Source organism: Homo sapiens, chromosome 3 (genome assembly GCF_000001405.40).
Source record: "Homo sapiens chromosome 3, GRCh38.p14 Primary Assembly".
NCBI lineage: Eukaryota > Metazoa > Chordata > Mammalia > Primates > Hominidae > Homo > Homo sapiens.
The window spans coordinates 183,416,297-183,430,501 of NC_000003.12; the positions used below are offsets into that span (position 1 = coordinate 183,416,297).

Below are 14,205 nucleotides of genomic sequence, written 5' to 3' on the forward strand. Positions count from 1 at the left end.
ATAGAGTTTGTAACATTAACCTTATTTACTATTCCTGGTTCTCTTCATTTGTTCCTATGGATTTGAGCTACCCTCTGGAGTCATTTCTTTATTCCAAATGCAGCTTTTCTCCTACCCACCTCCCCTGTGCTCTTGTTAAATATATTATATTACTGAATATATATACCCAACAGTACATTATATGCAGACATTCCTCAACTTACAATGGGGTTATGTCTTGATAAAGCCATCATAGGTCAAAATAACTGTAAGTCAAAAATGCACTTAATGCTGGCAACACAGCAGACAATCCCTAATTTATGATGGCTTGATTTATGATTTTTCAACTTTATAATGTTGCAAAAGCAATATAATTGGCCCTCTGTATCTGTGGGCTCTGTATCCATGAATTCAACCAACTGCAGATCAAAAATATTCAAAGAAATAAAAAACAATACAACAATAAAAAAATACAAATTCAAAATATAAAGTACAGCAACTATTTACACAGCATTTATATTGTATTAGGTATTATAAGTAATTTAGAGATCAGGCTGGGAGTGGTGGCTCACACCTGTAATCCTAGCACTTTGGGAGGCTGAGGCGGGTGGATCACGAGGTCAGGAGATCGAGACCATCCTGGCCAACATGGTAAAACCCTGTCTCTACTAAAAATTTTTTTAAAAATTAGCTTGGCGTGGTGGGGCGTGCCTGTAATCCCAGCTACTCAGGAGGCTGAGGCAGGAGAATCATTTGAACCAGGGAGTCAAAGGTTGCAGTGAGCCAAGATCGTGCCACACCACTACACTCCAGCCTGGCAACAGAGTGAGACTCTGTCTCAAAAAAAAAAAAAAAAAAAAAAAAAAAAAATGGTAATTTAGAGATCATTTAAAGTATACAAGAGGATGTGCATAGGTTAATCATTTACATCATTTTATAAAAGGGACTTGAGCATCCAGAGATTTTGGTAAACACTGGGGGGTACTGGAACCAATCCCCCTTGGATGCCAAGGAATGGCTGTATGCATTCAGTAGAAACTGTAACCCCATCATAAGTCATAAGAAGCTCTTCAACTTATGATGAAGTTACATCCTGATAAACCCATTGTACAGTCAAAAAGTTGTAAGTTGAATCATTGTAAGCTGGGGACCATTTGTACTTTTGTTTAACATAATTGCTTTTCAAATCAGTTAAAAGAATGAAGAAATATGCATTTACAGTGTCTTACATAATTACATAATTATCTTTACTGATGCTCTTTGTTTTCCATATGGATTTGAATTACCACCTGGGATCACTTGCTTTCAGCCTGAATAACTTCCTTTAGTATTCCTTAAAAGGTAGATCTGTTAGCAATTAATTATCTGTTTTTGTTTATCCAGGAATGTCTTTATTTTGCTTTCATTTCTTAAAGATACTATGTTAGTCCGTTTTCACACTGCTATAAAGATACTACCCGAAACTGGGTAATTTATAAAGGAAAGAGGTCAAATTGACTCACAGTTCCACATGGCTAAGGGAGGCCTCAGGAAACTCACAATCATGGTGGAAGATGAAAGGGAAGCAAAGCATATGTTTACAGGGTGGCAAGGGAGAGAGAGGGTGCAGTGGAAACTGCCACTTTTAAAACCATCAAATCTTGTGGCGGGGCCTGTAATCTCAGCACTCTGAGAGGCTGAGATGGGCAGATCACCTGAGGTCAGGAGTTCGAGACCAGCCTGGCCAACATGGCAAAACCCCATCTCTACTAAAAATACAAAAATTTGCTGAGTGTGGTGGTGCGCACCTATAGTCCCAGCTACTTGGGAGGCTGAGGCAGAAGAATCACTTGGACCCAGGAGGCAGAGGTTGCAGTGAGCTGAGATCATGCCACTCCACTACAGCCTGGGTGACAGAGCAAGACTCCATCTCAAAAAATTAAATAAATAAATAAACCCATCAGATCTTGTGAGAACTCCCCCACTATCATGAGAACAGCATGGAGGAAACCACCCCCATGATCCAATCACCTCCCAGGAGGTCCCTCCCTCAACATGTGGGGACTCCAATTCAAGATGAGATTTGGATAGGAACACAGAGCCAAACCATATTATTCCACCCCAGCTCCTCCCAAATCTCATGTCCTTTCCACATTTCAAAACCAATTATGTCTTCCCAATAGTCCCCCAAAGTCTTAACTCATTTTAGCATTAACTCAAAAGTGCAAGTCCAAAGTCTCATCTGAGACAAGGCAAGTCCCTTCTGCCTATGAGCCTGTAAAATCAAAAGCAAATTAGTTACTTCCAAGACACAATGAGGGTGCAGGTACTGGGTAAATGTTCCCATTCCAAATTAGAGAAACTGGCAAAAACAAAGGGGCTACAGGCCTCACACAAGTCTGAAATCCAATAGGACAGTCATTAAATATTAAAGATCCAAAATGATCTCCTTTGACTTCGTGTCTCACATCCAGGGTAAACTGATGCAAGGGATGGGCTCCCAAGGCCTTGGGCATCTCTGCCCCTGTGGCTCTGCAGGGTACAGCCACTGCAGCTGCTTTCACAGGCTGGCGTTGAATGCCTGCAGCTTTTCTGGGCATACAGTGCAAGCTGTCGGTGGATCTGTCATTGTGGGGTCTGGAGGATGGTGGCCCTCTTCTCACAGCTTCACTAGGCAGTTCCCCACTGGGGACTCTTATTTCTCCTCCACACTGCCCTAGCAGAGATTCTCCATGAGGGCTCTGCCCCTGCAGCAGACTTCTGCCTGGATATCCAGGCATTTCCATACATCCTCTGAAATCTAGGAGGTTTCCCAAACCTCACCTCTTGTTCTGTGCACCTACAGGCTCAACACCACATGGAAGCTGCCAAAGCTTGGGGCTTGCACCCTCTGAAGCAATGGCCTGAGCTGTAACTTGGCCCCTTTTAGCCACAGCTACAGCTGGAGTGGCTGGAACACAGGACACCATGTCACAAGGCTACACAGAGCAGTGGACCCCTGGGCCCGGCCCATACAACCATCTTTTCCTCCTAGGCCTCTGGGACTGTGATGGGAGGGGCTGCCATGAAGGTCTCTGGCATGCCCTGGAGACATTTTCCCCATTATCTTGGCTATTAACATTCAGCTCCTTATTACTTATGCAAATCTTTGCAGCCAGCTTGAATTCCTCCCCAGAAAATGGGTTTTTCTTTTCTACCACATGGTCAGGTAGGCTGCAAAATTTCCAAACCTTTATGCTCTGCTTCCCTTTTAAACATAAATTCCAATTTCAAACCATCTCTTTGTGAATGCATATAACTGAACACTTTCAGAATAAGTCTTGAATACTTTGCTGTGGCTGGGCACAGTGGCTCATGCCTGTAATCCCAGCACTTTGGGAGGCCAACGTGGGTGCATCACTTGAGGTCAGGAGTTTGGGACCAGCCTGGCCAACATGGTGAAACCCCATCTCTACTAAAATTACAAAAATTAGCCAGCCATGGTGGCATGCACCTGTAGTCCCAGCTACTCGGGAGGCTGAAACACGAGAATCACTTGAACCTGGGGGGCAGAGGTTGCAGTGAGCTGAGATCGTGCCACTGCACTCCAGCCTGGGCATCAGAGTGAGACTCTGCCTCAGAAAAAAAAGAAAAAGAATGCTTTGCTGCTTAGAAATTTCTTCTGCCAGATACCCTAAATCATCTCTCTCAAGTTCAAAGTTCTACAGATCTCTAAGGCAGGGGCAAAATGCCACCAGTTTCTTTGCTAAAGTATAGCATGAGTGACCTTTACTCCAGTTCCCAATAAGTTCCTCATCTCCATCTGAGACCACCTCAGCCTGGACTTCATTGTGCATATCATTATCAACATTTTTGTCAAAACCATTCAACAAGTCTCTAGGAAGTTCCAAACTTTCCCACATCTTCCGGTCTTCTTCTGAGCCCTCCAAATTGTTCCAACCTCTGCCTGTTACCCAGTTCCAATGTCAATTCCACATTTTCAGGTTATCTTTATAGCAGTACCCCCACTCTTAGTACCAATTCTCTGTATTAGTCTGTTTCCACACTGCTATAAAGATACAACCTGGCCAGGTGCGGTGGCTCATGCCTGTAATCCCAGCACTTTGGGAGGCCAAGGCAGGTGGATCACAAGGTCAGGAGTTCGAGACCAGCCTGACCAATATGGTGAAACTCTGTCTCTATAAAATACAAAAATTAGCCGGGCGTTGTGGCGGTCACCTGTAATCCCAGCTAATTGGGAGGCTGAGGCAGAAGAATCACTTGAACCCCAGGAGTGGGAGGTTGCAGTGTGCTGAAATTGCGCCACTGCACTCCAGCCTGGGCGACAGAGCAAGACTCCATCTCAAAAAAAGAAAAAAGATACAACCTGAAATGGGGTAATTTATAAAGGAAAGAAGTTTAACTGACTCATAGTTCCGCCTGGCTGGGGAAGCCTCAGGAGACTTATAATCGTGACAGAAGGCAAAGGGGAAGTAAGGCACATCTTCGCAAGGCAGCAGGAGAGAGAGTGCTCATGCAGGGGAATCTGCCACTTTTAAAACCATCAGAACCCGTGAGAGCTCCCTCACTGTCAAAAGAATAGCCTGGGGAAAAACCACTCCCATTATCCAATCACCCCCCACCAGGTCCCTCCCTTAACATGTGGGGATTACAATTCAAGGTGAGATTTGGGTGGGGACACAGAGCTAAACTATATCAGACAGTTTTGCTGAATACAAGATTCTTGGTTGACAATTTTCTTTAGCACTTTTTGCTTTCTGTCATCTATCATCTCTGATGAGAGTTGGTTGTTACCCTCATTAAAGTTTCTTTGTATGTGATGAGTCATTTTTCTCTTCTTTCAAAATTTTCTCATCTTTCACTTTCAGCATTTTTACAATAATGTGTTTGGGTGTGGATCTCTTTACCTTTTTCCTACTTCAACATCATTGAGCTTCTTTGATGTACAATGTTTTTCATCAATCTGGGGAATTTTTTAAATCATTATTTCTTCTGATACTTTTTCTGCTCCTCCTGTAGCTCCTCTCTTTACATTCCATTTATATTAGTGCACTTACTAGTGTCTCACATTTTTCTAAGGCTCTATTCATTTTTCTCTCTCCTTCAGATTGCATAATCTCTATCAAATCTATCTTCAGTTCCTTGAGTCTTTGTTTTTCCAGTTCAAATCCACTGTTAAGCTCCTCTAGTAAATTTTTAATTTCACTTATTTTCGTTTTTTATAGAGACAAGGTCTTGCTATGTTGCTCAGGTTGGTCTTGAACTCCTGGCCTCAAGCAATCCTCCTGCCTGGGCCTGGGATTGCAGGCATAAGCCACCACACCTGGCCCCTTTGAACATATTTATTGCGGCTGTACTGAAGTTTTTGCTAAATCTGACACCTGGGCTTTCTCACAGGCAGTTTCTGATGCCTGCTTTTTGTTTATTTAAGGGTCACACTTTCCTGTTTGTTTGAAGGTCTCATAAATTTTGGTTCAAAACTGGACATTTTAGGTAATATACTATAGCAACCATGAATACTGATTCCTCTTTTCCCCATCTCTGGGGCTTGTTTTTGTTTGTTTGCTTGTTTAGTGACATAGCTAGACTGTTTTAGTGAAGTATATTTCCCTTGAAGTGTAAAGACACTGATGTCCCTCCTCAGACAATGTTGCTTTGGTTGTGCCCATAGTCTGTGTGGGTTTAACAGAGTTGTACTGCCTGTCTCCCTTTCTGATCTCTCTGTTGTCTGCCTTTGTTTATATCATACTCAGCTGTTAAACTCCACCTACCTACTGCTTGCTTTATCGTTTTCAACAATGCCCTGGGGCATAAAATTGCTCCAGTCTTATTCAATTAAATTCAGGCAAAGATAGTTTTTGAGGCCAATCTTTAGGTTCCATATAACTCTAGTTGCCTCTTTCCCTGGTTCAGAGGACTCTCTGATAAACAAGCTGGCCTATGGTTTAGCTTGTTGCTCTCACAAAGCTACCAGACTCCTCTTAATTTCTTACTCTCAAAATCTCCATTGTATTCAAGAGTGCCTTTAGACTTGAGCTTTCCCACACTCAGTTTTAGCTAAAGTCAGTTATTTGGGGGAGAGCTTCAAACCCTCTATTCTTCCAGACTGTCTCTACTTCCAGGCAAAATCTCAGCCAGGGCAGTAGACTGGTCTTGGCTTGCCTCTCTCAATGTTGAATCTCCATTTCATGAGGGAGCTGGGGCAAAAGCAACCAGGTCTCAGTATTCTCAGCCCGCTGTACCTGGGATAAAGCTTCTGTCCTATGAATGGGGGCTGGGTGGAAAGAAGCAGACCCTGACCTCTCAGCTGTAGGCTCTCCAGGAACTTGGCCTCAGCAACTTGGAGTTAGAGAAGATGAGAAATGCTGGACACCTGCCCCTCCTGGCAAGGGACTATATCCCTTGACTAAAAGCTGAGGAGAGAGGAGCTGGGAGGATGAGAGCAGGTCATGCTCAGGTACCATAGACACTCACTATTATTACCAAGATTTAGTAGATTTTCTTGAATAAATGTATTTTTTTTCATTTGCTGCATGCCCTTCAAACAACTTCCAGAGGCTTTAGAAGCCTGGCTTTTAAAATAATTTTCACCAAGTACAGTTGCTTCACTGAGGAATGGATCCCTGGGACTCTTCACACTGGCATTTCTGGAAATGGAACTCCAACTCCACAACTGTTTCTTTTTAAATGTGACAAAATGGTAAGGGCAAGGGAGCTTTTGTAGACATTTAAATGTTTCTTAAATTTTATTTTGCACTTTTAAATTTGTCGATCAATTTTTTTAGGGTTCAAACATTTTTAGTAGCCCTTGAAGAGTCTGTGAACACTAGGCACAGTGTCTACAGAGCCTAATCGAAAAATAGCCCAAATATAGTCAGATGGGGGAACATGTCCAGCCATCCCCACTGGGCACATTCCCACCTGATTAGCAGATACCCTACTCTAATTAGACTCTTCTTTCAGTACCAACAGCTGAGGCATGGACTCTAGACATTTCAGCTGCTAACAACATTGTATAATAATGAGCCACGGGCTGAATTTCTCAGTCTAGTATTTTTCTGGCTGCATGTTATCAATGTTGACTGTGTCCCAGAAGTAGCAACCTGGGTTACAGATCAGTATCCTAGAGCCTCTGTCACCAAAATAGCCACCAATCCGATCTCCAATGATATAAGGAATGTTTCAAAGGATATTCTTTTCTGCTTCACAGTTAATTGGGTGTAGCCAAACATATGAAGTCATTTTAGAACAATGATAAGATCAAAATGTAAAATAATTATGTCTAATATGAGGGGGCAAGGTGGAAAGTGAGCCATGCTGGAAATGCAAAACCTCTATGGGGAGTTACTGACGTGGACCATTTTTTAAATTTTATTTGTTTTTTTTTTTTTTTTTTTTTTTTGAGACACAGTCTTGCTCTGTCACCCAGGCTGGAGTGCAATGGCGCAATCTCAGCTCACCGCAACCTCCGCCTCCCGGGTTCAAGCGATTCTCCTGCCTCAGCCTCCCAAGTAGCTGGGATTACAGGCATGCATCACCACGCCTGGCTAATTTTGTATTTTTAGTAGAGACAGGGTTGGTCAGGCTGAACTCCCGACCTCAGGTGATCTGCCTGCCTCGGCCTCCCAAAGTGCTGGGATTACAGGTGTGAGCCACTGCGCCCGGCGACATGGCCCATCTTGATGACTATGGGTTTCTAGTTATTGGAAGCCCCCATGTGAGCCATATGTGCCCTGTCTATCAAAATCCTAGAGCAATCTGAGATGCATTCATAGATAGTCCATGTTACTTAGACAGCACACCTCCACATATAAATAGCAGTACAGCAAATTTGCAGATATTTCAACAACCGAAAAGGGATAGGATGAGGAAAATCAAACAATATTTTTCTGACACTGAAATTCTGTAAACCAATGTGACTCTATGGTCCAGAATCAAGGGGAAAGGATGGTCCTACATGTGTCCTGCATGGATGAAAACACATCTAGACATGTGTTCACATGTGAACTGCATATTTTATAAGAGTTCCTGACTAATGGACAAAATCCAAAGAAAGAGGCCCCTAGAGTGAAGCACATCACATGAGGAACACATGAAGGGCTTCATGTTTACTTTCAAATGGGGTTTTGGAGACAAAATAGTTATCTACAAATATTTTATAGCTGTCCTTAAAAGTGTAAAAACTGCCTGGTACTCAATACTCCAACTCCATTCCAAAACACAATCATTCATCTATTCAGCAAACATTTATTCTGCATCTCCTTAGAGTGAGGCCCTGTGTTAAGTGGCTATCTAGGGTACATAAGACTCTTCGTAAGTAATGAAGAGTCTAGAAGCAGAGCAGGTTAAACAAGCGCACGAATAACCCAGTAACCATAATACAGGGGAGAGTATGATGGGCACAATGCGAGCAGAACAAAGCTTACTTTGGAATTCAGAGTCAGGAGTCATCATGTCCCACCAGCAAGATCAGAAATGATACCATGAAGGAGATGGCATTGTATTGGGTTTCAAAGGTGTGTACTATTTCTGTGAGAAATATACTAAAGACTTATTCCAGGTGGGGGGTAAAAGTGCAAATACTTAGAGGTGAGAAAAGGTCTGGAAAACATAATGGGACAGAGCCAAAGAACTGAAGAGTTCAAGTTGTCCAACCATAGGTGTAGAAATCTCAACTATTAGGGGATAAAGCTAGAACTTTATAGGCCAAACAGTGAAGAGCTTGTATCTTAGGCTGCAGAGAATGACTAGGTGCAGGTATTATTAAAGGCTTTGGAATATAGAGTGTCGTGTTTGTTTGGCTCGTAGTATACATCAGAGGCAGACACAGAGAGACAGGAGGTTTGCACAACGGCTAGTTAAAAGGAAATGAAGTCCTGAAGTAGGATTGAGGCAGGCAGCAGTGGGGATGGACATGAGGAAAGAAAGCTGCGAGGTGTTTCTGAAACTGAATCAACAGCAGCCAAGACACTTATGGAAATATGGGAGTGGGTGAAGAGAGATGACTCAATTACCAAGTCTAAGGGACATGGAAAGAGCAGAAACCCCTGCTGGAGGAGAAAGTGACTCAGGGTCAGAGGAGGCCGAGTGAATACGGAAGACAGTGTGGCTACCCTGGCAAGTGGCTAGGATAGGACCCGGAGAATGTTCCAACCCAAAGCCTTGCTCCAAGCACCTCTCAAACCTTCCCCAACTCATGATCACCTCCTCAGAAGCTACTTGATAAGGAAATACCTGAAAAGAACAGGCAAGCATAGAGCCAATCTACCCTTGAGAAGCTCCACTGGCTACCCAAAGTGACCCTCCGTGAAGGCTGAGGCTGTTGCAGGGTTAGAGAAACGCCCGCTCCACCTTGAGGTCCCCCAGTAGGGGATATGAAGAGCTACCTTCCTGCCCTGAGCCTGCCACTCACTCCCCCTGAAACCTTAAAAGATGATCCTCTCTCACTTTGGGAGGCCAAGGCCAAGGCAGACGGATCACCCGAGGTCAGGAGTTCAAGACCAATCTGACCAACATGGAGAAACCCGTCTCTACTAAAAATACAAAAAAAATTAGCCGGGCGTGGTGGCACATGCCTGTAATCCCAGCTACTCGGGAGGCTGAGGTAGGAGAATCGCTTGAACCCGGGAGGCGGAGGTTGCAGTGAGTCGAGATCACACCATTGCACTCCAGCCTGGGCAACAAGAGCGAAACTCCATCTCAAAAAAAAAAACAAAAAAGATGATCCTCTCTGAGTCAATTCCTTCATTTGTAAAATAGGGGTAGTAATGAGTACCCCACCCATTTCACAGGTTTTATTAGATTAAGTATGAGGAGACAGAATCTTGCAAAGCACACAAAAGCCAAGGGTCATTAGAGGTTGAAAGGAGAAACTACAACAAATTCCTATGTGTATCCTGCATGGAGCTGTCTATAGAAGGAGGGAGGGAGCAAGGTAGGCAAGAAAATACCATAGCCTGGGCGCCACAGGCAGCTAAGTGTTAGTCAAGGAATACTGCCTGCCAGATTTTCAAGAAGAGCCTGCTCCAGAGAAATAGGAGGGACCTTTAAAATCATCCAGGTCAACCCCTCGTTTAACAGATGGGAGGCTTCGCCCTGAGAGAGGCCCAGTAACCCACCAAAGATCTTTAGTGGCGTGACAGAGGGACCAGGGATATGTCTAATAACTGAAATGTCTGTATAATCACAGTGTACACAGTATTTCTACCCAAATTATCTTACTTATCTTCACAAGTAGCCTTTGAGCTGAGTGGGAAAGTACTATTAAAATTCCTATTTTTCAACCTGAGGTCGAATGACTTGTCCAGGGAAAGATTCAAATCCAGACGGTCACACCCCGAGTCCACTGCTCTTTCTCTATACCACAACTTCATGCCTGTGCTGGGTTTTAGCACAATCATTTCAACTTTCATCATATTGCAGATTCCGAATTCTGTTTCATTACAAGTTCTTTTTCCTCTTATTTCACACTGCCTTCAGCAATATTTCACATTCAACCTTACCTGGTAGGATCCTACTGATCTTTTGTCGTAAAAGTTCAGTGCCCACAATTGGCACCAGAAACTTTTTTCTAAACTTGAATTATCAAAACTGGGCCTTCCCATATAAATCATCTTTACAAAGTATGTCCTCACAAGTGTATCATTTGAGATGTGCACGATTATTACAGCAAACACGTTGGACTAATTGAGGCAACATTTAACATGCAAGTACCAAGAAAGCAGCTTTCACAAATGTGTAGAAAACCAAGGCAAATAGTTCCTGGCTTTATCAATAAAAGCTGATTTGCATTCATGGGAGGACCTCCAAGCACAGTCAGCAACAGAGAAAATGATCCCGATAATTCCAGTTGCCCACATCCAGAGGTTCTGAACCTGAATGTGTGTCTTTACTGAGGGAGGTCCAGGGAAGGCCAAGGGGAAGAAAGTGCTAAGAAAAAACTGACTGGGAACTGTCTCAATGTCCTCTTGCCCTTACTTAGTCTGTGGGGCCTGACGTTCCATCACAACCCTTATTTCAGGAGCAAGCAATGCATGTTTTGCTCCTCTTTTCAACTCAGGGAAGAAGATTAAAATTGCTCAGTCTCCTTGGCTTGCAGAGATTTCTCGCGGGGATCATCAGGGGTGTGCTTAACCCTCCAGGCAGCACAGTAAAACAGGCCTAGCGGCCGAGCTGCGCAGGGGCGCTCCCATGTAACCTGCCTCTCCCTGCACTTTCTTATAAACAAGCCTTCAGTGGCGTGGCAATCATTTCTGCTGAAAAGCACTGGCATTCGTTCCTCTTATGCCCTCTCCTTTCTCACTATCCCCAAAACCAGAACATAACTTCCCACCCACCCTACTCCCGTCAGAAGCAGCTAACGGATGGTAACAGCCCAGCAGCCCTCGGTTTGGAGCTCAACGGACTCGGCAACCACCTGGTGAAGGCACCAGCCTCGGCCCCCCGACCCCCACCAGCGGCGCGCCCCAGGGATGCCCCCCGCTGGGCACCGCAGGCAGGACCCAGAGCAGCGAGGCCCAGATGCCGGGCAACCCCCCAGGAAGCGCGCTGCCCCGGGGCAGCGGGTGAGGCCAGGAGCCAGATGAAGCCCAGAGACCATCCTCACCCGCCATTAATAAAACGCAGGAAAAATTAAAGCTTCGTTTACCGACATGAGTGATCACTGTGGCCAGTCGCCGGGTGAGCTCCTGGGGAGGCATCTCTTCTTTTAAGCAAGACAGCATTTCACTGAAAAACCATTCCGTATAAATAAAGCCAAACAAAACTGTTTCTACCGCTGCGGTGGATGATTTTTTAAAGGCATCTCCGCCCAAGGATGCTCTGCCCTCGCCCTCTTCCTGGCTCTCCAGGCAAGAAACGAGAGTCCCTCGCAGCCTAGGCCAGCTCTCCCTCGCCACGCCCCGCGGGGGCTCCCGTGACAGACCAAGTCTGGCGCTTTCCCAGCGTCGCAGCTGGACCGAGAGAGGAGCGGCCGTTCTGCAAAAGGAAGCAAGTCGCCAATCTCGCCGGAACCGCGCCCCGGCTCCTCCGGCCGGGCGAGCTCCGGGGCTTCCAGAATCGCGGTCCCGGCCGCCAGGTTTCCGGCGCCGCCTCCAGGGACTGTAGAGTGAGGGATGCTCCGCCAGGTGCAGGGGAGGCGGCAGGTGGCCGTGGCTTCTCTGCGCCGCCGGCCCCACGCCCCAGCGCCCACCTCGTCCAGCCCACGGGTGGCGCCCGGGGCTCTCGGGGAGGCACGCACGCTCCCAAGCGCCGCTCGTTTTGGGGTCGGGAACGCTGCGCACCTTTCCCTGCGGGGAGCCCGCGCTCCACCCCCGGAGTGGAGCTCCGGTCCTTACTCGGAACCGTGGGGCGGGGAGACAGTGACTGAGGCGCTCCAGTCGCACCGGGGTCCGGATCATCAGACGCGCGCCGGCCAGGTCTCCGCCCCTCCTTCTTCCGCGCCGGGTGTCTGCGGAGGAGCCGCGGAGAGAAGGGGGCTGGCCCGGAGAGCTGCCGCCATCCGGCAGGACCCGGAGCGGGAGGCTGGGTGAGGCGCCGCTGCTTGCCCCACCTCCTGACCCCGGGGGCGGCTGGCGTGTGTTTTCCCCCACTTGGGGTTGTTCCACGCAGTTCTTGACCTCCGCTGGCCACACCTGCACTGGGAGCCCGGCGCCCGGGCTGCGCTCCGACAAGGCTGAGCACGCGTGGGCGCGCTCACCCCCTATGTGGGCGTTTTCCTTCGTGCAGCTGCGCCCTTGCCTCTGCTCCGTCTGTCACCTGTCAGGCACGCCAGTGCTACCTTCTGGAGGGGCTGTGGCACATCCTCCATGCTGGTCCTCCTCCCCATCAGCCCATTATCCCGTGGTTTCCCTAGTTGGGCCCAGACACTTTCTGACTGGCAGCAAAAGACTAACCCCAGTTCAGCAGAGCGCTACGGGAAACGCCTGAGCAAATGCGAATTCGGTCAGGTTGTCCCCCAATCCTTTCTACAGCGGGAGTCCCTGAATACTCAGCAGGCGGAATGGCGGGACCACCCAGGCGGATGTTCTCAGCCATCTCTTTCCTCTTCGATATGTAAAAAGCCAAGCCGCAAACACCCTGGATCCAAATTCTAGGAGTAGCCACCCATCACAGGGGGCTGAGGGTATTTTTTTAATGCTTTCTCTTTTCTTCTTTTTTTTGGAGACTGAGTCTGGCTCTGTCGCCCAGGCTGGAGTGCAATGGCGCGATCTCAGCTCACTGCAAGCTCCGCCTCCCGGGTTCACGCCATTCTCCTGCCTCAGCCTCCCGAGTAGCTGGGACTACAGGCGCCCGCCACCACGCCCGGCTAATTTTTTGTATTTTTTAGTAGAGATGGGGTTTGTTTCACCGTGTTAGCCAAGGATGGTCTCGATCTCCTGACCTCGTGATCCGCCCACCTTGGCCTCCCAAAGTGCTGGGATTACAGGCGTGAGCCACCGCGCCCAGCCCTTTTTAATGCTTTCTCTAACAATTGTGGGCTGTGATTGAGAAGCGAGGTCAGTTCACCTGTGTCATGAGATTTGTGGAGAGGTTCTTCCCCCTGTGAAGTTTGGGCACTTTGCACTCTGCCTGCAAAACAGAGCAAGGATTTTCTTTTTCTTTTCTTTCTTTTTTTTTTTTTTCGTTTTTAGAGATGGAGTTTCACCATATTGCCCAGGCTGGTCTCAAACACATGGACTCAAGTGATCATGCCCGGCCACTGAGCAACCATTTTCACAACCACCTTTTGCAAGAGATTCAAAAAAGGGTTAAAAGGCCGGGCGTAGTGGCCCACGCCTGTAATCCCAGCACTTTGGGAGACCAAGGCGAGCGGATCACAAGGTCAGGCATTCAAGACCAGCCTGGCCAACATAGTGAAACCCCATTTTACTAAAAATACAAAAATTAGCTGGGTATGATGTCACGCACCTGTAATCCCAGCTACTCGGGAGGCTGAGGCAGGAGAATTGCTTGAACCTAGGAGGCGGAGGTTGCAGTGAGCCAAGACCGTGCCATTGCACTCCAGCCTGGGCAACAGAATGGGACTCCATCTCAAAAAAAAAAAAAAAAGAAAGGTTAAAGATCCGCAGGAGGGGAGGCAGCTTTTGAATTATGTTTCCGGCGTTCAAGGGTCACAAGAATTTTCAAGGAACCAAATGAGATGTTTCCTACTGATAGTAGTCAGAACCCTGGTGCCCAGTCACAGCCAACTGTGAGTTTTGGTCAGCAGAAACCAACGCCTAGTAAAGAAGACAATGATGTGGGGTA

The 14,205-nt window shown here is 46.7% G+C and overlaps 1 protein-coding gene across 5 annotated transcripts in view, besides 1 other annotated feature; it reads right to left on the reverse strand.

Moving 5' to 3' along the window:
* The window catches only part of MCF2L2 (MCF.2 cell line derived transforming sequence-like 2), a 250,579-nt gene extending 238,256 nt beyond the window's left edge, over positions 1-12,323 (reverse strand). For all 5 annotated transcript variants that reach the window (NM_015078.4, XM_017005943.3, XM_017005945.3 and 2 more), the window contains exon 1: positions 11,606-12,323. In NM_015078.4, coding sequence (NP_055893.4) covers positions 11,606-11,681 — 76 coding nt within the window. In that variant the 5' untranslated portion in view covers positions 11,682-12,323. The remainder of the gene's footprint in view (positions 1-11,605) is intronic.
* Positions 12,073-12,152: a silencer, noted in NCBI's record as "silent region_14940". NCBI's record gives its function as "represses an Ori minimal core promoter by ATAC-STARR-seq in GM12878 lymphoblastoid cells {active_cell/tissue: GM12878}" and the evidence as "EXISTENCE:reporter gene assay evidence [ECO:0000049][PMID:35858748]".
* Positions 12,324-14,205: the final 1,882 nt, after the last annotated feature.